General features: G+C 60.1%; 1 protein-coding gene across 1 annotated transcript in view, besides 5 other annotated features; it reads right to left on the bottom strand.

The window, feature by feature from the left end:
• Nucleotides 6,613-6,907: an enhancer, noted in NCBI's record as "tiled region #3776; K562 Activating DNase unmatched - State 8:EnhW". NCBI's record gives its function as "activates a minimal TATA promoter and a strong SV40 promoter by Sharpr-MPRA in K562 cells {active_cell/tissue: K562}" and the evidence as "EXISTENCE:reporter gene assay evidence [ECO:0000049][PMID:27701403]".
• TTYH3 (tweety family member 3) overlaps nucleotides 6,980-23,306 on the bottom strand; it is a 32,817-nt gene continuing 16,490 nt past the window's right edge. Inside the window, exons 6-14 of the mRNA NM_025250.3 lie at nucleotides 22,143-22,215; nucleotides 21,794-21,869; nucleotides 19,540-19,595; nucleotides 18,772-18,864; nucleotides 15,598-15,690; nucleotides 15,248-15,384; nucleotides 13,323-13,496; nucleotides 12,767-12,842; nucleotides 6,980-10,114 (exon numbers count right to left, since the gene is read on the bottom strand). Coding sequence (NP_079526.1) covers nucleotides 10,043-10,114; nucleotides 12,767-12,842; nucleotides 13,323-13,496; nucleotides 15,248-15,384; nucleotides 15,598-15,690; nucleotides 18,772-18,864; nucleotides 19,540-19,595; nucleotides 21,794-21,869; nucleotides 22,143-22,215 — 850 coding nt within the window. The 3' untranslated portion in view covers nucleotides 6,980-10,042. The remainder of the gene's footprint in view (nucleotides 10,115-12,766; nucleotides 12,843-13,322; nucleotides 13,497-15,247; nucleotides 15,385-15,597; nucleotides 15,691-18,771; nucleotides 18,865-19,539; nucleotides 19,596-21,793; nucleotides 21,870-22,142; nucleotides 22,216-23,306) is intronic.
• Nucleotides 10,571-10,670: an enhancer, noted in NCBI's record as "active region_25543". NCBI's record gives its function as "activates an Ori minimal core promoter by ATAC-STARR-seq in GM12878 lymphoblastoid cells {active_cell/tissue: GM12878}" and the evidence as "EXISTENCE:reporter gene assay evidence [ECO:0000049][PMID:35858748]".
• Nucleotides 10,751-10,820: an enhancer, noted in NCBI's record as "active region_25542". NCBI's record gives its function as "activates an Ori minimal core promoter by ATAC-STARR-seq in GM12878 lymphoblastoid cells {active_cell/tissue: GM12878}" and the evidence as "EXISTENCE:reporter gene assay evidence [ECO:0000049][PMID:35858748]".
• Nucleotides 11,129-11,629: an enhancer, noted in NCBI's record as "H3K4me1 hESC enhancer chr7:2699787-2700287 (GRCh37/hg19 assembly coordinates)". NCBI's record gives its function as "activates a minimal SCP1, AML or CMV promoter by ChIP-STARR-seq in primed H9 embryonic stem cells {active_cell/tissue: H9 hESC(primed)}" and the evidence as "EXISTENCE:reporter gene assay evidence [ECO:0000049][PMID:30033119]".
• Nucleotides 18,504-19,271: an enhancer, noted in NCBI's record as "H3K4me1 hESC enhancer chr7:2692145-2692912 (GRCh37/hg19 assembly coordinates)". NCBI's record gives its function as "activates a minimal SCP1, AML or CMV promoter by ChIP-STARR-seq in primed H9 embryonic stem cells {active_cell/tissue: H9 hESC(primed)}" and the evidence as "EXISTENCE:reporter gene assay evidence [ECO:0000049][PMID:30033119]".

Genomic DNA, 23,306 nt, shown 5'->3' with positions numbered 1-23,306 from the left:
GACTCCGTCTCAAAATAAATAAATAAACAAAATAAAAAGGCACTTGGACTTGGTGCATCCCAAGGAGTGACCCCAGGACAGGGGCTCCTCCTCTCGGCCCCTGGAGGCTGGAGGTTGCCCTGATGATGTCACTGTGCTGAGTTTGGAGGCTCAGAGCTGTAACCGCTCCCCCCCACCCCCGCCAACTACACCACGCACCCTCTGCCTCCCCCGTGCAGGCCTCTAGGACCCCACTTCCCTGCCTTGTACAACCTGAGCAGTCCCTGGGCGCTGGCTGGTGGTGATGGCAGGTGGTTCTCACCCCTTCCAAATCCCACCTTTCCCAAGCCCCCAACCCAGGCCCAGGGGTGCAGCCCCAAGGAGTGGGGAAGAAGGAGACCCCACAGCCCCATGCTTGCTCTTCAGAGTTCCTAGCACAACTCACAGCACCACGACCGAAGCCTGGTTCATGCAGCCTGGGTCCTGTCGAGGGCACGCCTGACCCAGCTTCCTGTGGCTGCTGTCTGCCCCGGCTCTGGGGGATGGCATCGCAATCTCAGCTAAGCCATGGCTCCCCCTGTCCTCAGAGACCCACCAGCAGCCTCCAGGCAAGGTGGGGAATGCAGATTCCCAGGCCTCGCCCAGCACGGCGGGAACTGCAGAAAGGGGCCCGCCCGGTCTTTCCTCCTCTGAGCACCCGGCGCCGCCTGCTGGGCACTTGCGGTCCACACAGCAGCTCTCACTGCCATCCCGGACCCTTCTCGTCCTCCCACCCTCATCCTGAACTCTCTGGCTTCTGGGACGGGAGCTGTCACCTGCTGCCCACCTGGCCTCCTGCGGGAATCCACGGGCTCCCTCTTTCCGAGGAGATTTTGGCTCACACTCCCAGACACTCTTATTTCTTCTTTCTTCTTTTTTCTTTCTTTCTTCTTTCCTCCTCCTCCTTGAGATGGACTCTCACTCTGTCACCCAGGCTGGAGTGTGGTGGCACGATCTTGGCTCACCGCAACCTCTGCCTCCCGGGTTCAAGGGATTCTCCTGCCTCAGCCTCCCAAGCAGCTGGGACTACAGACGCCTGCCACCACGCCCGGCTAATTTTTGTATTTTTAGTAGAAACGGGATTTCATCATATTGGTCACGCTGGTCTCGAATTCCTGACCTCAGGTGATCCATCTGCTTCAGCCTCCCAAGGTGCTGGGATTAACAGGTGTGAGCCCCGTGCCCAGCTGCAGCGCCCCCTCTTCTGCACTGCTCAGGGGTCTGTTCTCGGTGACCTTGGTGTCCCCTCCCTCCAAACACCCTCTCCCCCAGGCCCCCACTCATGGTCACTCTCCAGGCCTGGCCCTGCCCGTGGCCTTGCCCTCAGCCATCCCCGCCTCCCACTCTGCCTCCACCTGCCGGTCCTGATGATCCCTCATGATCTTTCCACCCTCCCCATCTCCGCCCTCCCACCCAAGCGTACCCTCACCTGGCGGCAAACTCAGGGCCGAGCCTCTTGGGCTCGATGTTGCCTTCATCATCATCTCTTGGCAGGACCTGTCCCGTGGCTGCACCCAGCCCACTGCCTGCACCTGGGCAGCCGAACACCGCTGGAGAAAAGCCACTTCACCCTCTGTTGAGTCTCACTTGGAGTCCCAGACCTCAGGGGGCCTCAGGGATCCCACTGTTCCTCTCCTGGGGCTCACCCTTCCTCCTCTCTCCTCAGCTCCCACCCGCTCTTGCCCACCTGACTGCCTTGCTATTTCACGAGACCCTCCGAGACCCACCCACATGTCCCCACGGGGCCACACTCCTGTCTGCAGCCAGCCTCCACTGTGCCCTGGGTCCAGCTCCCCTTGGCTACTCAAGAACATTGTGCCACTGATGACATTGCCTCTCTCCTCCCCTGCATGCATTTGCTGTCTACTGGATCAGTCCTATTAACCTTACGAACATGCCGTTATTTCCCCATCTGAAAACACACACGTTGGCTGGGTGCGTGTGGTGGCTCACACCTGTAATCCCAGCACTCTGGGAGGCCCAGGTGGGTGGATCACCTGAGGTCAGGAGTTGGAGACCAGCCTGGCCAACATGGTGAAACCCCGTCTCTACTAAAAACACAAAATTTAGTTGGGCGTGGTGGCTCGCGCCTGTAATCCCAGCTACTCGGGAGGCTGAGGCAGGAGAATTGCTTCAGAGAAGCCGTGTAAGTGTGCCTGTTCGTGTGTGGGCACGTGTGTGGATTTTGTTTTTAAATACAGAGTCTTGCTGTGTCATCCAGGCTGGAGTGAAGTGGCACGGTCACAGCTGGCTACAACTTCCAAATTCTGGACTCAAGGGATCCTCCTGCCTCAGGCTCCCGAGTAGCTGCTACTACAGGTGTGCATGACTATGCCTGGCTAATTTTTATTATTTTATCTTTTTTTTTTTTTTGAGACAGAGTCTCACTCTGTCGCCCAGGCTGGAGTGCAGTGGCGCGATCTCGGCTCACTGCAAGCTCCGCCTCCCGGGTTCAAGGAATTCTCCTGCCTCAGCCTCCTGAGTAGCTAGGACCCCAGGCGCCCACCAGCAAGCCCGGCTAATTTTGCTTTTTTTGTATTTTTAGTAGAGACAGGGTTCCACCACGTTAGCCAGGATGGTCTCGATCTCCTGACCTCATGATCCTCCCACCTCGGCCTCCCAAAGTGCTGGGATTACAGGGTGAGCCACCACACCCAGCCTATTTTATCTTTTATAAAGATGAGGTCTTGCTATGTTCAGGCTGGTGTTGAACTCCTGGGCCCAAACGATCCTCCCAAAGTGCTGGGATTACAGGCACATGCTGGCCTCCCAAAGTGCTGGGAGAGTGCTGGTGTGGTGGCTCACGCCTGTAATCCCAGCACTCTGGGAGACTGAGGCGGGTGGATCACTTGAGGTCAGGAGTTGGAGACCAGCCTGGCCAACATGGTGAGACCCCCATCTCTACTAAAATACAAAAGTTAGCCAGGCATGGTGGTGGGCACCTGTAATCCCAGCTACTCGGGAGGCTGAGGCAGGAGAATCAGTTGAACCCGGGAGGCAGAGGTTGCAGTGAGCTGAGATTGCACCATTGCACTCAGCCTGGGCAACAGAGCCAGGGGGAAAAAAAAAAAAAAAAAAGACTTGCTGCTGTGCCTATTCCTCCTCTCCCATGCTGTCCTGGACCAGCTGGAGGGCTTCACCAGACCTGTCTTGTGCCCCAGGTGACTCATGGTCACCAGACGTGCAGGCTACATTCTAGTCCTCGCTGAGCTTGACCGTCAGCAGCGTTTGACGTGGTCCTCCATCCCTCCATGACATGCTGTCTTCATGTGTCTTCCAGGACACCCACTCTCCTGGGCTTCCTTCCAGCTCACCCCTTCCCCTCTTCCTTTGCAGCTCCCTCTTTTCCCAGACTCTGAACACCAGGTGGGCAGGGGGGGTGCCCAGATCCAGTCTTTGGTCCTCTGTCTCCTCTTTGACACCCACCCACTTGGCAATCTCACCCAGGCTGGTGGCTTTAAACACTGTATCCATGCCAAAGACCCCAATTGCCAAAGCATCTCCAGTCCAGTGCTCCCCCCAAACCCCAGAGACTGTACATCCCACCACCGTCCCACACCCCTTGATGGCTAATATGCTCAAGGTGCCCCAAACTGGACCTCTGACCTCCCCTGACCCAATCATGTGCCCTCCCCATCTCAGTTTATGACAATACCCTACCCCCCTCCCCCTAGCCAGTTGCTCGATCAAAGTCCCACACCCATGCCCAGTCTGCCAGGAAATGCTGCTGGTGTTACCCTCCAGAACCCAATCTCTTATCACTCCCTGCACCCAGCCCGGCCACCGTCAGCTCTCGCCTGCCCCCCTGCAGCAGTCTGCTAATTGGTCACCCACTTTTGCTCTGTCCCCTTCCCAGTGCAGCAGCCAGGGCAATCCTATTAAAATGAATGTTAGGGGCCGGGTGTAGTGGCGCATGCCTGTAATCCCAGCACTTTGGGAGACCGAGGCGGGCGGATCACTTGAGGTCAGGAGTTTGAGACCAGCCTGGCCAATATGGTGAAAGCCCGTCTCTAATGAAAATACAAAAATTAGTCAGGTGTGGTGGCGGGTGCCTGTAATCCCAGCTTCTTGGGAGGCTGAGGCAGGAGAATGGCTTGAACCCGGGAGGCAAAGGTTGCAGTGAGATCGTACTATTGCACGCCAGCCTGGGCATCGCAGTGAGACTCCATCTCAGAAAAAAAAAAAAAGTTAGGTCATGCCACTCTGCTCATAGACCCTTCATGGCTCCCACCTCCCTCTGGTTCAATGTCAAAGTCTCTCCCACCTCCAGCCACCCACTCTCGTCCTAGCTCCCTCCACTCCGGCCAGCCTCACCTCCTGGCTTGAACACACCAGGCATGCATCTGCCTCCGGGCATTCGCACTGGCTGTTCTCTCTTCTGGAACCTGCTTTCCTCAGATAGCCTCAAAACTAAACCTGACTTCCCATGGTAGGCAGGATAATGGCTCCCAAAGCTGTCCATGTCCTCACCCCCAGACTTAGCGTGGCAAAGCCAAGGGACTTTGGAAACAAGAGTTAATTGTGGATCCTGAGATGGAAAGATGATTGGAACTTACCCACGTGGGCCAAGTGTAATCACAGGCAGGGGGGTCGGGGTCAGAGCCAGAGACGACATGGTACTCTCTGCTGCTGGCTTTGAAGGTGGAGGAAGGGGCCACCAGCCAAGGAATGTGGGTGCCTCTAGAAGCTGGAAAGGGCAAGGAAATGGACTCTCGCCTGGATTCTCTCCCCACAGAGCCTCCAGAAGAAACCAGCCCTGCCAACACCTTGGCTTTAGCACATGGAGACTTCTGGCCCACAGAACAGTAGGACGGTGTGTTGTCTTAAGCCCACGGAGCTTGCTGTGCTTTGCAATAGCAACACTTGGGACCTCATGCACTTCCTGGCCTCCAGCAGTCTCTCTTGGCTGCCAGTTTTCCAGGGAGAATTTCCTGACTGTTGGAAATTGCACCTGGCCAACACCCCTGTCCCTGCCCTCCCGATCCCTCCACCGCGATCTTTTTCCTGCAGCACGTTCTCACGTGGTCTGTCATCTGCTGGTTAATTTTGTCGTTTCTCTCCACCGGAGCATCAGCTCTTTGAGGGCAGAGCCCTTTGTCCTTTGGTTCGCTGGGCGCACTCCAGTGCCCAGAACACTGGCTGGACTTAGAAATACCGGCCCGGTACGTGGATGAGTGGTATGAGCCCCACTCCCCACCCTCCCACCGCCCGAACCCTCCCTCCCCTGCCCTGTTAGGAACCAGGATGTTGTTTTCCACCTTTCCTGATATAGAGACAGGGACTGAGATCTGAAAGGGGAAGGACATGCCCAGGGTCTTTCCCTTGTGGCTACTGGCTCTTGCTCCAAGGCTGGGGTTCTGACCTTATGGGCTCCTAGCCCCAGATGTCCCTTATCACATGACTCCCAGAAGCCTCAGAGCTCTGGCGTCCCCACTCTGGGGAGCTTGGCAGCCTTCCTTCAGAGCCAGCCCGTCCTGGGTCCCATCCTGGAGCAGCCACGGTCAAATCCAAGCACACTGGGCAAAGCTGCTGGTGGCAGGAGGAAGGGGCCCTGCCCAGCGGACCCAACCCCCCCCCCCCCCGCCCACATACACAGGTGCCCACAGGTGCCCTGAGAGCTGGGAGCCACAGAGAGCCCCCGCATCCTCTGCTGGGCCTGGTGGCTCCCTCACCACCTGTGCTCCAAGCCTGTGCTCTGCTGGTCAAAAGGGGGCCTCCCCCAACTTCGGAGGTCCTAACATCTCCCTGTGGGGTGAGTGTGTTATTACAGGGTTATGTGCCTTCCCAAGCCTGCTTCTTAGCAGGAGCTTGGGGTGGGGAGGGTCCTTGAAACACGTGGGCCCTGTGCGGGCCTCCAGGAAGGGCGCCAGAGGACCCCCAGGCCGGGGAGCACGGGAACCCGCCTCCATGCTGCTTCTGGAAGGACGGGGAGTGATGGCCACTGGGGGCTCAGGAAGAGCTCGGCCCGGAACCCATCATTGCTCCAACCCGGCCACTCGACGCCTCCATCATCCCTGCTCCTGGCCAGGCACCCTCACCTCTCCTGAGGGCCAGTGGGGCCTCTGCACAGCGATCCCGGTCCCCGCGGGCCCCTGGCAGTACTTGTCCAGACAGCAAAGTGAGGCTTTCACTACGTCGATCGGATCAGCACTCCCAGCTCCAGACCCTCGGGTCCATCGCTGCTTTGCACACCGACGCCCTGAGCGACGCCCTGAGCCCGCCAGAAGCCGCCCACCCAGCGAGCGTGGCCCCGCCCACTCGCTCCGAGAGGCTCCTCCTACTCCATGCCCCGAGATCTCGTTCCCGGCGCCTCGCCCACCCATTTTTTTGTTTTTTTTTGAGATGGCGTCTCGCTCTGTCGCCCAGGCTGGAGTGCAGCGGCGTGATCTCAGCTCACTGCAAGCTCCGCCTCCCGGGTTCACGCCATTCTCCTGCCTCAGCCTCCCGAGTAGCTGGGACTACAGGCGCCCGCCACCACGCCCAGCTAATTTTTTGTATTTTTAGTAGAGATGGGGTTTCACTGTGTTAGCCAGGATGGTCTCGATCTCCTGACCTCGTGATCCGCCCACCTCGGCCTCCCAAAGTGCTGGGATTAAAGGCGTGAGCCACCGCGCCCGGCCTCGGCCACCCATTTTGCAAGGCCTTCGTCCACTCATTCCAGAAGCCCTGCCCACCCCAACCCTGGAAAGCCTTCCCCGGCGCCCCGCCCACCCCATCCCTGGAGAGCCTGTCCCCGGCGCCCCGCCCAGTCACTCCGAGGCCCCGCCCACCCCTGAAGACCCGCCCACAACCCCGAGAGGCCCCGCCCGCAACCACAAGAGGCCCCGCCCAGCCGACCCCTCGGAGCTGACCTGGTCGGCCCCACCCTCAGTGTCCCCCTGTTCCCCCAATGCCCCTGCCTGGAGCCGTGGACTCCCTACCAGCGCCCAGCCAGGAGCCAAAGCAGCTCAGGAAGAGAGGCTTGCTTTTTAAAATTTATTTTAAAACATGAAACCCAAGCTGAATAGAAACCACAGAAATTACATTGACGAGATTTTTAGTATTTGCCAAGAAAAAAAGCCCCCAAAGAAATAAAAATCAGCCCCCAAACCCAGTTCTAAAAAAACAAAAAAACACAGCGACAGTACATACAGCCATGGCCCTACAGAGGCTGGAGGAGGGGGAAATGCAAAATGGTTCAGGCCTCAGTTCCTGGATGTTAAATCACACTGGGGTGGGGGAGGTCAGATGCCCAGGCCGGGGGGGTAAACCAGGAGGCTGAGTCTTAAGGAGATTATATATATATATATTATATATAACAAATATGAAGTGGTTCAGTACACAACCATTATGGTTAAACACAAAACAAAGATCCCACAGGAGAGGCCCTGGTCCCCCGCCTGCCCCCTTGTCTGGGGTTCTGGGGTCCAGGGGGCTGCCTCACCACCCCTCTCAGGGCTGGGGCAGAGCTGGCCCCAGGGCAGGAGCAAATGTTGCTTGGAACTCGAATTGCATAGTGAGATGGGTGGGTGGGCAATGGGCCAGGGGCTGCTCCCAACCAGGCCCATTCACTACCAACCTTGCCATGACATGTGGGGGGCCCTGGGGTAGTGGATGCCTGCTGGGGAGCACTCTCAGTGAGGTAAGCCCCTGGGCTCCTCCCTCTTGTCCCCAGGGCCACCCTGTCCTCCCAACGAGGCTGTGGGCCTGGGGGCTGCAAGACCCCCTGTGCAGGGTGAGAGTGGGGGCTGGCCATGGCAGCAGGCACCAGCCAGATGCCCCAGTAGGTGTGGCGAGGTCATGGGATGGAGTAGTTAGGAACACGGCACCGAAAACTCAGAACAAAAATACAACCAATGGCAGGCGCTCCCCTCCACCTACTGAGGTGGGGTTTGAACCCCTTTTGATTTTCCCCGTTTCCTTTCTTCAACCTTGGTGAGTAGAAAGTCACAGACGGGCACACACGCACACCACGGTCAGGAGTCCCGAGACAGCACGAGGCTGGAAGCCCTGGCCTCACCGCCTCTCACGCTATGTCCATTCACCTGGCAGGCAGCCTCACGGCCATGGACAGCATTTGTGCTTCTGAGCGGTCGCAGGGCGTTTGGCGGGCACCCACGCCAGGGTGCCAGGGCCTCTCTCCTGGCCCTAGGCCTGGAGAACTCCCCTGGCGGGTCAAGCCCAGAGGAAAGACTGGGCAGGTTGGCTGTGGCGGGGCCTCCGAGGGGGGCTCAGAATGTCAGCCAGGCGGGGCCTGAAGCAGAGGCCCCTCCACTGAGGTTTGGTCATGCCTGGGGAGCTCAGACGCCCCGGCTTGGGGCCCCAGGCCCATGGACTCCCCTCCCCACTCTGCCCTCCCATATTCCCCCTTTTTGGTCCCAGACACCAGCACAAAGAAAGGAGGGGTTCACAGAGGAAGGCCAGGGCAGAGCCTGGCCCCAGGGAGGGGATGAGGACATTTCCGGTCCAGGTAGCTGCCGGCTGCTCTGGGAGGAAGAGCCATGCGTCTGTAAACTGCTGGGGCTGGCGGCCCGCCCCACTGCAGGGCCCAGCCTTGACCCCTGCACGTGGCCATCCAGCTGCCCTCTGGCTGCCCCTGGCCTTGGCACAGGCATCGAGCCTCGAGGGCTGGGCTGGCTGGGCCAGGGCCGGGACCGGGAGGGGTAGCACGTCCGATCCTGATGTGGGGTGGCTCTGCCCTCCACGGCGGGAAGCACAGCAAACATCGTACACTAAAGCCAAAAGCACCATTGGGGAGCCTCGCTCCCACTTCATGGGGAGGAGACCGAGGCCACAGGGACCTCAGTCCAAAGCCCGCGGGAGGTTCATTCCCGAGGACAGTCCTCCTGGGGCAGCACCTGCCTGGGGAGGGGTGTCCAGGCCCTTGGGCTGCCTGTCGGTCTGTGGCACCCCCTGGAGCACCCCATGAAGAAACGCTACTGCAGCCTTGACTCCCAGACAGCTGCTCCGGCCTCGGCTCCAGCCCGGACTTGGGCTCACACTGCCGGCTCTGGGCCAGCTAGGGGCACCCGTGGAGTTTGGGGGTGAGGTTAGTGGTTAGTCCCAAGGGGGGACAGCAGGGGCTGAGGGATGTTCACAGCCGGCTCGGGTCCAGCCCCTCAGGCCGGGCTCCTGGGATGCTGTACCTGTCATGGATGGAAATGGAACCAAGAAGGGAGGGAAGGGGGGTGCCAGCGGTCCCCCTCAGCCCGCAGCCCCAGCCTGCCCTAGAGATGACAAATGTGGTTAGTGCAAAGAACGAACCAGACACAGCTGCCCAGTCTCTGGGTGGGGGAAGGGGGTTTGGCACCAAGAAGGCGGCCAGCACTGGGTGGCGGGTGAGCGGCCCGGGCTCCACGTGGCCCCTGCTGTCCACGGAGGGCTGGGGCCTCCAGCAGGGCAGGTGCTGAGGGAGAGAGTGAAGCTGGGGCAACGGAGAGAGGCCCTGCTGGAGGGGGCCTCTGGCAGCCGGCAGGAGGGGTGAGCCTGTGGGTGGGCGGGCTGCACAGGCGAGGAGGGCACTGCAGAGAGATGGGCACGTGGAGGGACCACGGGGTGACCTCAGGGCAGAGATGAGCAGGTGGCACGTGTCCCTGTCCCTCAGTGGCCAGCAGGCGCCAGCACAGAGCGGCCCCAGCCGTGCCTGTGAACTAAGAAGGGGTCCACAGAAGTGCCGGGCGGGAGGAAGGAGAGCTGTGGAGGGAAGGGCCGGGCGGCAACAACACAGGTTGGGTGCGGCCAGGGCTTGTAGGTGCGGCGACCATCTGCAGAGGGAGCGTGCCGGGATAGTGGGTGGCGTGCAGGGCTGGGGCATCGGCTGGCAGCAGCGTTCAGGTGTGACCCGAGTTGGCGGTACGGGCCCAGAGCCCCTGCGTCTCCACTGTGCCCCTGCGGGGAGGGGACAGGAGGGCAAGCGGCCTGCAGACGCGTCTGGGGCAGGCCTGGCACGGCGTGCGAGGGTCCGGTGGGTGGCCCAGGTGGAAGCGGCAGTGCTGGCACGGGGAGGGGAAGTTGGCACGTGGGGTGGGTGGCTGCCGGGCGCGGTCTAGTGGCTGCCGCTGGAGTCAGGGCGAGGCTGGCTCGTGGCGAGGTATTTGGCTCTCATGCTGGAGGTGTACTGGAGGGAGACAAGGGGGAGGCATCAGCAGGGCCCCTGCATGGCGCACGCAGCCAGGGGCGCCTTCCGCGTGGTCCTCACTTGGCTGAGCCAACAGCCCTGGGGGCAGAATGGGACAGTACAGGGTGCCCTGACAGAGCCTATAGGGAGGGGCTAAGGAGGGGCCGCTGGCTGGGGGCCCCTGCGCTCTAGGTCTGGCTGAGGCTGAGGGAGGGGCAGCCCCCGAACTCTCCAGGCTCAGGACAGGGGATGTCTCCTCTGAGGAGGGGCGTACACACAGCCTCCCATGCCCACACCAGCGGCATTTGGGCATTGGGCCAGGCAGAGTTCTGCCACCCCCAGGAGCCACAGCTCCAAGGCCCTACCTGCACCTTACGCACCCAGGACCTGAAGGACACAAACCAGCCACCCTCCAGGGCCGGGCCAAGGCCTCCTCCGGGCTCAGGGCCGGGTCCACCTACAGCCAGGCCACAGCATGCAGGAGTACGGAGGCCCCAGCCTGAGGACATCCCCCGGGCTACTCTGCCCCTTCACGCCATGGAAGGAGGGCCCCTTAAGCCACACAGGAGGCTGGAGCAATGCAGCCCCCCCTCCCGTGGGGGACCCAACTGTGGGCTCCTGGGGGTCTTGGACTTAGGAACAGAGGCGGCTGCAGGGGGCGCTGTCCTGTGCCTGGCTCTGCAGCTGGCCTGCACCTCGTGGGTGCCCTCGTCCAGGCAGGAGTGTGAAGGTCTTGAGTGCACGTGTGTGTGCAAGAGAATGCATGTGTGTGCTCACAGAGAAACCCACATGTGCGAGGCATGTGCTGAGGCCAAAGGACCCACAGGCCTGGCACGTGTCAGGGGCCGGCGGCAGTGAGGAGACCTGGCAGGCTGGCTCCCATCCCAGGAGGGCTTCAGAACCCCAGGGCCCCAGGCCCATCCCCATAGTCCCCAGACTCAGAGGCACAGAGCTCCCCGGGTCCCCGAGGGCCCTCCTGGGACACCAAGAAGGTTTCGAGCAGCCTGTGGGGACGCCACGGAGGGGGTGGGGGGAGGAGCCACGGCCCGGAGCCTCGTCATTCCACTGACATGCAGCACAAGGGGAGGGGATGGGGGCGGGACGGGGCGGGACTGGACGGGACGGGGCAGACGCGCAGACCCCTGAAGGAGCCCAAGCAGGCACCCGCACCACCGTGGGGCCAGCGGGAGAAGCTCACGTGCTCGCCGGCACGTGCCTGTCCGTGTGCACGCCCCTGACACGCAGTTGGTGCCTCCAGGGCAGGGCCTGCTGGCCACATGCCCAGGGGCCCGGGCACATACAGGGGTCTGGGTGCATGGATTCCTCACTGGGAGGTGACAGAAGGGGCTGGGGCCACTTGGAGCTGTGGCAGAGTCCCCAGAGGCCAAGCAACTGGGCAGGGGGAGCCTGGAAGGGGACTTGCCAACCCCACTGTGAGGCTGGCGGGCCCAGAGCCGGCATTAGAAGTCTCTGGCTGAGCCGTGGCACTCAGAGCTGGCCCTGCCAACAGGAGCCGGACAGATGGAGCCCCAGCTCAGTGCCGACGGGAGGGCGGCAGTGAGTGCAGGGTGGAGGCGGGAGGCGCAGGCGGGTGGCCGTGCGGGATGGGGGACCGGTGGGTCAGTACCTGTCGCTCTGAGGGAACAGCTACCACAGCGTTCGGGCACTGTCCATGGGCTTAAACTGCCAGCCCGCGTGGCTGCCAGAGTCCAGGGCAGCCAGATAGCGCTAGGAGGGCCCGGGGTGGGTGGGGTGCAAGAGAGAGAGAGAGAGAGAGTGTGGCCTCAACGCCAGGGTGTGGGGCCAGGAGTGGGCTGTGGGCCGTGTGATGGCGAGGACGAGGGCAGCCGAGCGGGACTGGGCCTGCACCTGTGTGGCCTGAACCTCACAGGCCCGGCCCCTCCCAGGCCCCCCAGGCCCAGCTCTGTGCTACAGGGGACCATGACAGTGGCCCCGGGATGGGGATTTCTGAGCAAGGCAGCCTTCGGCCTCCCAAGCCCTGTCCTGGTAGCCCGGCCGCCCCCTCCCCGGTCCCCCAGCTTCGCCACCAACTCCTTCTCTTCGGCACCCTGTCCCCTCCTGCCTGTGTCTTACGCGGGAAGTCAAAGGGGACACCAGGCCTGGGCTGAAACAGCCATGTGTGGACACTCAGGAAAAGACTCAAGGAAGAAAAAGAAAAGGAGGCAGGGCCGGGGCCCCTGGGAACTGGAGCGGTGGCACCCCACAGGTCCAGAAGGCACAGAGAATGGCAGGTAAGAGGCCAGGGAGGGCCTGGTGCAGGGCCGTGCCTACAAGCTGGGAGGGCCACAGTGGGGCCACATCTGCCCGCCCACCCACTCTCCTTCCCCAGGAAAGGGCCTGAGAGCTGACCCCCTGGGCGGCTGGTCCCGAGGCTGCCCACTCTGGCCCCAGGACACTCCAAGGCCAGCGGGGAGGAGCTGGCAGTCCCACCCAGCCCCGTCAACTCAGGTCAGGCGTCCTGCAGAGAGGTCCCAGCTGGGAAGGGTCACCTGGGACCCCGGTGGTGGCAGCTCACAGCTGCCCCCAGAGCTCACACTGGCTGCACATGCCACACCAGCCCACCGACGCAGTGGAACAGCGGACCCCCAAGGCTGAGCAGCCCCCCATCCACCCTCCTGCCCCAAGACTTACTGAGGGCGGCGGGGACTCGCGCCCAATGAGTGGGGTGTTCTCACAGCGGGGGTTCTGGAAATTAGCGTTCTGGCTCCTGAGGCATGAGGGGAGAGAGGCTGTGAGTGCCTGCTGGCCATGCAGTCCCAGCTGCAGGTCGGGGGGCCCATGGGTAGGCCCGCTGTGCCCAGATGGGCACATCCATTCTCACTGGGGGTCCCACGAACCCAGCACAGTAACAAAGGGCTCAGAGAGGGCCCACAGAGAGACCCCTGCCCACCTTGGCCCAGCCAGAGTCCACTCCCTCCGAGCCACCTGTTCACCATGTAGCTGGGCCCTGAGGTCCTTGGCCACAGAGTCCTTGTGCCCTGGACACGGAACCTCCATGTGACCATGTGGCCTCTCCATGGCCCCTGGACCGTGTTCACCTGGGGCAGGAGGCACTCAAGGCCAGGGCTGCCCAGCCCGGAGGCCGCCCCTTCTCCAGCCCCTTGCCTCGAGCTAGCCCCAGCCCAGATCCGCGCTCTCAGCCGCAGCTGACGTGTCCGCTGGCCCCACTAGGCCCACGTCAACTCACATGTACTCAGTGACCGGGGCGTTGCTGACGGTGTGGGCCGCGGCCGGGATGCTGGTCTCACTGCCGTAGCTGCTGCCACAGCTGTACAGGCTGGGCATGTGGACGCGGTAGAGGCTGTCGTGCGCCTGCCGCGGCCCTGGAGCGGCCTCCTCCTCCCCGTCCTCATCAGGGCCTCTGTGAGGAGGGACACGCAGCACGGGCTCAGGCCCCAGCAGGAAGGAGCTGGCCACAGACCCATGGGGGTCAGTTCTGGTGCAGACAGACACTCCTGGTTCCAGTTCTGGCTCGGCCGTGTGCACACTCCATGTGGGACTGTGGGCAGGTCACCTGGCTCTGCATCCAGCCCTGCCCTTGCGAGGTGGGGTGCTATGAGACCTGTGTGGTCACCCGAGTGCCAGGCCCTGTACTGCGGCCTGTGCATGGCAAGGCTGGCTGGCTGCTTACTGAAAGAAGAGTGCAGGGCCCCTCCTGGGAGAGTGCAGGAGGCCAGGGTGCCTCTTGAAGGCACAGGAGGCTGGGGTGCCTCTTGGCTCTGCAGGATCCAACTGCACCCTTGGGTGGCCTGAGCCAGTTTTCCTAGCCCTGCTGCCCTCTGGCTTTCTGTCTTCCACTCTGCGCGAGCCTCTGGCACTTTGGAGCCTCCACGCCCCAGGAGGTCCCACATGGGACACAGGGTGGGCTGCCTGGCAGCAAGCACTTCAGAAACAGGACAGTGGTAGCTTTTGGCTGCGCAGGGGCCACCAGCCAAGCCCCTCACGTGCAGTGGCTCAAGTGCCCACTCGACACTCCAGCTGTGTCCTCTTACAATGAGGGAAATTGAGGCCCAGGGTGGTTAAGTGACTTGCCCACATCATACAATAAGCAAGGATAGAGACAGAATCTGAATCTAGCCCTGTGGGTCCAGGGCTATGCTCTTATCTACTCCCCTATGTCTACCATCTTTGTTACCACTGACACCATCACCACCACCATCACCGACATCACCAATGCCATCACCATCACCAACATCAACAATGACATCACCATCACCATCACCATCACCACCACCACAACCACCACCACCATCATCACCATCATCACCATCACCACCACCATCACCATCATCACCACCATCACCATCACCATCATTACCACCATCACCATCACCATCATCGTTGGCAGCATCACCATCACCATCACAAAGGAAAATAATAGAAATCCAGACAAAAGGAAGAAATCTGAGCTGAGCTACCTGCCATCCATATTGGGCCACCAAGCAGCAGCCACAGTCCAAGTGGGAGAGGAGGTGAAGGTCTCAAAGATAAGCCATAGGAGCTCTGGCAAGGGAAGGAGCCTGTCACCCCAATACACCACTCAAACCAGTACTGAATGGGAAGACTCAGGCAGGGGCCACCAGGACCCCCACTTCAAAGGTAAGGACATAGTGGCTCCAGGGGAGCTGGCTTCTATCCTGGTCACTTAGCTGGAGGCCACAGCTACCTGGACTACCCCTGGCAGAGCTAAGCCTGCACAGTGGACCACCAACCTTTCCCCCACAGCGTCGTGCACCTGCACCCCATGGTGGGGGACACCTGCCTGGGAGGCGGTACAGAGTAGACAGTCTGAGGCCAGCTCTCAGGGCATAGGGCACAGAGCCAGTCTGGGGAGGCAAGAGACCCCAGTCCTCCCCACTGTCTGCTCTGGACTCCTGCAACCCAGGCCGGGAGCTCCTCCAGGCTGTTTTCCTCCTGTGAAATGATGATGCTCACCTGGGAACCGGCAGCCTCAGAGACACTAGAGAGGCCTAGGGAGGGTCACGAGGTGAGGAGGTGTCTGTCCCTCACCTCTGGGACTGGCACATGGGTGTCCATAAAGGCATGCCCCTGAAGTGTCCCGCATGCCATGTGGCCTGGGGCAAGCTCCTGCGACCCCCCAGGGCCCCTCACCTCTTTTGCTGCCAGGTGTGCGGGACGCTGCAGACGATGGAGCTGAACATGAGGGCTGTGACGAAGGAGAAGAGGGCCAGGTAGATGAGGCCCTCCACGCCGTCATAGCAGAAGCCGGTCAGCGCTTGCACGTAGTCCTGAGGCCGTGGGATGAGATGGCAGGATCCAGAGACAGGGAGGGTGGAGGGGGCAGCGTGAGACCTTCAGCCCAGCCACGGCGGCCTGGACCGCCCCCCAGAGGCAGGGCTGAGGACCCACTGTCTGCTGAGGGTCCCCATCCTCCCGAACAGCTGCTCCCCTGTTCCCACCCTACAAGCTGCCATGGCCCTGTCCCAGGCCCTGCCTCTCACCAGATGCAGGCTGCGGCAGTCCACCAGGGCGGTGAGGTGCTGCAGGTTCACCTCCGTGCCATTCAGCACCTCCTGGACGCGGAGGAGGGGGTCCTGGGGGGCACGCACCGCAGATGGTCAGCACTTCATTTGGACGGGGGACCTCGAGCCAGCCTCGCCCCATCTGGGAAGCCCCCAGGTCTCCCTCCAGCCCATAATCTTCGACTGAGATACCCCCCACCCTGGGGTCTCAGTGCAGGTCCTGAGGACAAGGACTCTGGGCCTTGAGAAATGGTGACCCCAGGCCCCTCCTCAGACCCGTGGGGTCTACCAAGGACATGAGGACCCAGAAGCGCCTGTCCAGTGTGGTCGCCACTACGTGAAGACAGACCTCCCTTTATTGTAATGGGAGAAACAGCGAACCCCCACGTGTCTACTGACACGGACCTGCTCTGCTTTTGAAAGTATTATTTCAAGGAACAGCTAAAGACAAGGGAAGAGTCTCATACTGACTGACAAAACTCTCCATGCAGAGTGAGCGCAGTCCTGTAATGTGTCCGTGTGCTCACCGGTGCTTACGTGTGTGCATGCGTGTGCACCTGTGCACGGACACCACCAGCTCTGTCTCATGCCTGGAGAAACGGCTGCACAGAAACACTGCCAGGCTGACAGCGACTCCACAGGAGCAGTGACTGGGCCCATTGCTGCCTTTTACGGCACGTTTTCTAAGGACCCACTACAATCCTGAAATGGATTTTGGGGCCGGGAGCGGTGGCTCACCCCTGTAATCCCAGCGCTTTGGGAGGCCAAGGTGGGTGGATCACTTGAGGCCAAGAGTTGGAGACCAGCCTGGGCAACATGGTGAAACCCTGTCTCTACTAAAAATACAAAAATTAGCCAGGCGTGGTGGCACGCGCCTGTAGTCCCAGCTACTCAGGAGGCTGAGGCAGAAGAATCGCTTCAGCCGGGAGGCGAAGTTTGCCGTGAGTTGAGATCACACCACTGCACTCCAGCCTCGGCAAGAGAGTAAGACCCTATCTCAAAAACAACACCAAAAAAAAAGAAATGGATTTCGGGATAACAGAGCCTACTGTTACGGGCTCAATGGTGCCTCCAGAATTCCTGTGTTGCGGTCTGAACCCCCAGGACCTCAGAAAGGGGCTGCACTTGGAGACACAGCCTTTAAAGAGGTGTTGAAGGTAAACCAAGGTCACATGGGTGGGTCCTAGCCCCATGGGACGGGTGTCCTTATAAGAAGAGGAAAATGAGCTGGGTGCGCTGCAGGCGCCTGTAATCCCAGCTACTCAGCAGGAGAATCGCTGGAACCCAGAAGGCAGAGGTTGCGGTGAGCCGAGATTGCGCCACTGCACTCCAGCCTGGGCAACAGAGAGAGACTCTGTCTCAAAAAAATAAATAAATAAAAATAAAAAAGAAGAGGAGATCAAGACACAGACACCCACAGAGGGATGGTCCTGTGAAGACAGTGGGAGAAGACAGCGTCTACAAGCAAAAGGGAGGCCTTGGAAGAAGCCGGCCCTGCCAAGAGCTGTGAGATGATAAACGTTTGCTGCGGAGGCTGCCCCATCTGGGCTGCTGTGCTATGGGGGTCCCAGGAAACGAATCCACTTCCCTACCCACTCGAGTGCAAAAACGCCAAGAGGGAGCTCTAGCTGTAACAGAAATTCTAAAAAGTAACTTTAAATCAAAGCAATTGTGTGTGTGTGTGTATAATTTTTATTTTTAATTTTTTTTTATGTGTGTGTATATATGTTATATATATATACACATACATACAGAGAGAAAGAGAGAGAGAGACAGGGTCTTGCTCTGTTGCCCAGGCTGGGGTGAACTGGTGCCATCACAGCTCACTGCAGCTTTGAACTCCCGGGCTCAAGCAATCCTCCTGCCTCAGCCTCCTGTGCAGCTGGGATTGCAGGCATGCTTTGCCACACCTAGCTAGTTTTTGTATTTTTTTGTAGAATGGGGTCTTGCTATGTTGCCCAGGATGGTCTTGAACTCGTGGGCTCAAGTGATCCCCTTGCCTCAGCCCCCCAGAGTGCTGAGATGACAGGCATGAGTGCCGTGCCCGGCCCCGTGTGTGTATACACATTTGTTTGCTTTTATCTTTGTGAAGAGCTCCTTGGAGAAGGGCCAGCTGCTCCCAAATGGAGTCTGAGACCCACACTTGTGCCCACAGACGCACTCCTCCCTCTTCATGTCCAGTCCTGGGGCGGTGTGTGTGGGGGCAGGGATCCCCACGGGTGGACCAAACACCTCCAAAGAGATTTGGGTTTTATCAAGAGTATAGCAACGTATTTATTTTTTATTTTTATTTTATTCTTTGAGATGGAGTCTCGCTCTGTTGCCCAGGCTGGAGTGCAGTGGCGTGATCTCCGCTCACCGCAATCTCTGCCTCCCAGGTTCAAGTGATTCTCCTGCCTCAGCCTCTGAAGTAGCTGGGATTACAGGCGTGTACCACCACGCCCAGCTAATTTATGTATTTTTAGTAGAAATGGTGTTTCACCATGTTGGCCAGGCTGGTATTGAATTCCTGGGCTCAAGTGATTCACCCACCTCGGCCTCCCAAAGTGCTGGGATTACAGGCGTGAGCCACCGCGCCAGGCCTTTATTTTATTTTTTTAACATATTGTAATGTAGAAATGCCCGGGCCCAGAACACTACAGGGAAAAACAAGAATCCTCTCAAATTTCCACAATGCCCCCAGGGCACTCACCCAGAGAATGGATCTGATTCTGTTACTCTCTTCCCTCATCTCTTTCCATTTTCTTCAATTTTTTTAAATATAAAGAGCTTGTATTATTTTTAAACAAAGAATAAAGTTATTTTTTAAACGTTGGGTGTGGTGGTTCACGTCTGTCATCCCAGCCCTGAGACCCACCTGGGCAACATAGCAAGAGCCCATCTCAAAAGAAATGATTTTTAAAACCTACCAAAAATTCCCAAGGGAAAGGAATGAAGGAGGGAGGAAGGGGAGGAAAAAATGAGGCCTAACGCGGAAAGGGCTGGGGGAGGGAAGAGGAACACCTCCCATGCCACCTCCAACACCAGGTCCCCACTCGGCCAGCCTGGTGCCTTCTCCAAATTTGCCCTGAGCTGTGTTTGCACCACAAATTCCTTTCATGCTGAGAAAAGAGGAGCCCTGCCTGCCCCAGTGCCTACCCCGCAGCCCCTCACCTTAGTGGCCGGCTGCTCCCAGGGGACGGTCCTCAGAAGCTCAGCCACGACATCCTGCATCTCCACCAGTGCCTTGTGGCTGCCCGACAGCTTCTGCTCCAGAGAGGAGACCAAGTCCATGGGCGCTGCTGGGTCCGCCCGCCTCTCCCTCCCCAGGACCCTCCAACGCGGGGACACCAGCAAGACGTCCAGCCTGGGAGACCATCAAGGCTCTGCTCTGCAGGCCAACAGGGCACTCCCTGCCCTTGCTTCCCCCGGGACACACCCAGAGACCACAGAGCCCTGAGGTGGTAACAGCCAACCACGCACCCACACCAGCAAGCAAAGCACAGTCACACGGCCCTCAGGATTCAAAGGGTCACATGCTACCGGTACAATGACAGGCAGTGTGTACAGGGCTTGACCAGCTGGTGCGGCCGACCTCTTCAAACTCCCCCACCAGGACGCCTGAACACGGTTACCCTACAGAGGCATCCCTGGGGCTCCTCCTTCCCCCACCAAGGCCAATCCAAGGAGCAAAAGCAGTCCCAGCGATGCGGGTGCATTGAGCAGGTCCCCCCGAAAGGCTCTCAGCCAGGTCACCAGGTCACCGGCATGGTAACCCCAGGGGCTGTTGGTGACATCCACACAGCCTTTGTCCAGCTCCCTCCCCCAGTTCCCCAGTCCTGCAGGCTGAGGAGCCAGGCGCCAGGCCTGCTGGGCCCCTCCACACACAGCAATGTGCTTCAGACTCTCCTGAAGCCCAGTCCCGGCCTCCCAGGCTCTCACCTGCTGGAAGGGGTTGGCGGCGCGGGGCGAGCAGGCCAGGTAGTACTGCAGGATGTCTGCGGAGAGACATCAGGGAAGGCTGAGCTGCAACAGCTGTCCCTGTGAGACTGCGTGCACGTCTGCCTGTGTCTGCACGCATATCTTCAGGGCATCTGCGTGCATGTTTACATGTGTGCATGTGTGTCTGTGTGCACCTGTTTACACATGTGCATGTGTCTGCATGTTTACTTACACGTGCATGTGTCTCTGTGCACGTTTCGTGTGCACGTGTGCCGGTGTGCATGTGTCTGTGTGTTTATATGTGTGCATGTCTGTGTGTACATGTCTTCGCATGTGTGTCTGCATGCATTTACACACATGCCTATGTCTGTGTGTGTGGCAGTGGGGTCTGGGCTCCCATCAAGCCAGAGTCCCCACACACTGCCCCTTGCCTGGGTTCCACCTTCCGAACTCTTTACAAGTTCAGTTCTTCCAATTATAAAAGAACATTAAAAAAAAACATTTTAAAAGTTCAAAAAATGATGAAAGTATTTAACAACATAGGAGAGCACCAGGCATCACTGTGGCCGCCTGTGCAGTGAAGCCAGCGTGGCTGGCCTTGCTGCCTTCTGGGAGGGGCTGTCTGGCCCGCAGGCTGGAGCTCACACTTACGTGTGTACATGTACACGTGTAGGGGGCGCTGCTCATACTTGATGAGATCCCCCCAAAGGCCGCCGGCTACAGTAGGGACCTGGAGGGACCAGGATGATAGCACCGGGGCCAAGGACAGTGGTGGGTAGCACTGAGCGGTCACCAGCCCTCCCCGCCCCTAGCAGAGCGGGCCCACCCCTCCACCCTCGCCCCCGAGGACAAGGTCAGTGGGCGGCAGATGACTTTTCCTCCAGGAGGCTCTTCAGGCTTTGGTGGAAGTGGTTCCTTCAACAAAGGCAGGTAAAAAACCAGCCCACAAGCCAATCCTGTGGCCTCCAGGGACAAAGGGTGGCAGGATGGTCACCTTCAAGGTCATTCAGTAACCCTCACCCCCACAGGGACAGGCCTTCTATTTCCTATTGGGGAACACACAATAATTCCACAAGGGGGGCCTGAGAAGCTTAACACACTGACGGCACCCCGATCTCCAGATTCCCACGTCCACCTGCCTCTGTGCCGTCCGACACACATCGCAAACCTCCCGAGGGGGCCGAAACTCCCGATGCCCCAGCTCCCTGCCCCCCACCTCCAGACCTGCTCCCCCACCCACAGTACAGCTTATGGTCCCGCAGCACAGAGCTGCTGAAACCAGGGACGCCAACTCCTGCTCCGTCCCTCTCGCTCCCTACATCCAACTGACCGGGAAGTCCTGCCAGCTCCGCCCTCAAAGCCCATCCCTGTCCACCTTTTGCTCCATTTATTCAAGCCCCTGCTGTCTCCTGCTTGAGGTATCCTCCTCACCCACTCTTGTAACCCTTGAGGCCTGAGGAAGCTTTGAAAGGGACCTTCAATCATGGGTCAAATCTCTCCCCTGCCTCCCTCCCTCCAATGGCCTCCCCCTGGAATAAAGCGAAGCTTGCCACAGAGACTCAGCCCCACTGGCCTCCCACCCTCCATTCTCCCCTCGGGTCTGCCTCCTGCCTCGGGGCTCTTAGAAGAGATGCAGCGTCCTTCTGGCTCTACTTTTTTTTTTTGAGATGGAGTTTCACTCTTGTTGCCCAGGCTGGAATGCAGTGGTGCGATCTCGGCTCATTGCAACCTCCACCTCCTGGGTTCAGGCAATTCTCGTGCCTCAGTCTCCGGAGTAGCTGGGATTACAGGCACCCACGACCACACCCAGCTCATTTGTGTATTTTTAGTAGAGACAGGGTTTTGCTATGTTGGCCAGACTGCTCTTGAACTCCTGACCTCAGGTGATCCACCCGCCTCGGCCTCCCAAAGTGCTAGGATTACAGGTGTGAGCCACTGCACCCAGACCTCTGGCTGTACTTTAATGCCACCCATTTGGCCTCCCCTGGGCATCTACTCGAAGCAGCCCTGGGTCACCTGCCGCTCCCCCTGCCACGCGGGCACCCGCCACCCCACATAGTTCCTGTCATTCTTTGCAGAGCCTCCCACTTGGGAAAGGTGGTCCTGTTTGCTCACTAGCATCTTGGCCTGGGACCTGTCTCCCTGAGACCATGGACCCACAGGGCAGGGGTGTCTCGGCCTCAGCTACCCCACTCTTTTGGCTCAGCCCAACCCTGGGGAACCCGCTGGGACACGGCCGTGGACACAGACTCACCCCCACTCAGCACCGAGTACTCCTCCACCATTTTGGTCACGTAGGCGTCAGGGTCCACACAGAAGTCGCTGGAGCCCTGAGGTGGGCGTGGGCAAGCAAGAGGGGTTGACCAAGCTGGGCCTAAAGGGAAGCTCTCGGGGGTAGAACCCGTCCCCTGGAGTCTGCTTTCAACTCAGGAGGGTGGACTGTGAATCTGGGGTTACAGGTGGACTGTGCCCATGGTGGGTCCCCACCGCTCTCGGGACCCAGTGCCCGGGAAGATGGGAGGGGAGAGGAGTGTGGCTTCCCCTCGTCCCTCCCCCAGTGCCCAGGTCCAGCAGCCGGGGACCTCACCCCCTCTGCCACTCACCACGGACACAGCCAGCTCCAAGCCCAGCGCGCCCCAGCTGATGACCAGGGCCAGGACTCCCAGCAGGCAGACCCTGGGGCAGAGACAGCCAGTCAGCAGCCCCCAGGCCAGGGTGGGGGCCGTGCCACCTGCTGGGCTGCAGGCCAGAAGGCAGGTCCCAGTGCACATCAGGGGTCAGCCCACACATGGGCTGGGGCTCTTCCTGTGGCCTGGCCTCAGCCAGAGCTGCCCACAGCCCAGGGCCCAGATGGATCCCTCTCCTAGGTGGGGTGGGGCTCAGAGATCTGAGCTGGAAGCAGGACTGGAGGGCCACGTGGCTCTTGGGGCCCCGCCCCTCCTGTCCCCCAGGTCCCTCTCCTGAACAGGCAACAGTGTCCACTTTCACGTGGGTCCCCGCATCCCGCCGCCCACGTAGCAGCCCAAGGGGCCTGATAACGTCAGCTAGATCAAGCCCTCCTGTGCTGAACCCTCGCTCAGCAACTGGGGACTCAGAGCTCTTGCTACGGCACTGGCCTCTCCCTCATCTGAGGCCTCACCTCACCCACATCTGGCTCCCTTTGATCCAGATACACAGGCCTCCTGTGCATACCCCACTGCAGGTGCCCCCACCACGAGTCCCCCATATCCCAGTTCAGATCCCCAAAACACACCCCAGTGCAGGCCCCACACCCCACTGCGGGCCCCACACCCCACTGCGGGCCCCACACCCCACTGCGGGCCCCACACCCCACTGCAGGCCTGCACACCCCACTGAGGACCCCACAACCCACTGCACACTGTCATCCTTCCTGTCTGTCCAGGCGTCCCTTACTCCCTTGGGCCCCTGCTCAATCCCTCCTCGCTCAGGTCTCCTTGGGCACAGCGTGAAGCTGCACCCCCCCCCACCACCCTACTGCAGGCCTTCACACCACCCCGGCTTTTCCTCTCCAGGGTGCTATCACCTCTGGCCCATGCCACGTTTCCCTCATTCTGCTCCTCTGTGGCCTGTGAGTGCCACGTGGGGGGAGGCTGTGTGTTCTCCCATCTCTCCCAGGCCTGGCCCAGGGAGGCACCAGCCATGGCTGTGCAGCTGCGTGGTGAAGGGCAGTGACAACACCTTACCTCCCACAGAGGAGCTGCCGCTCTCTCTGCCTTCCAAACGAGGAGACCAAGGCCCAGCAACAA

This window comes from Homo sapiens, chromosome 7 (genome assembly GCF_000001405.40).
Source record: "Homo sapiens chromosome 7, GRCh38.p14 Primary Assembly".
Taxonomy (NCBI): domain Eukaryota; kingdom Metazoa; phylum Chordata; class Mammalia; order Primates; family Hominidae; genus Homo; species Homo sapiens.
Note: the sequence above shows the minus strand (reverse complement) of the source record. Positions and strands in the feature narration are given on the sequence as shown.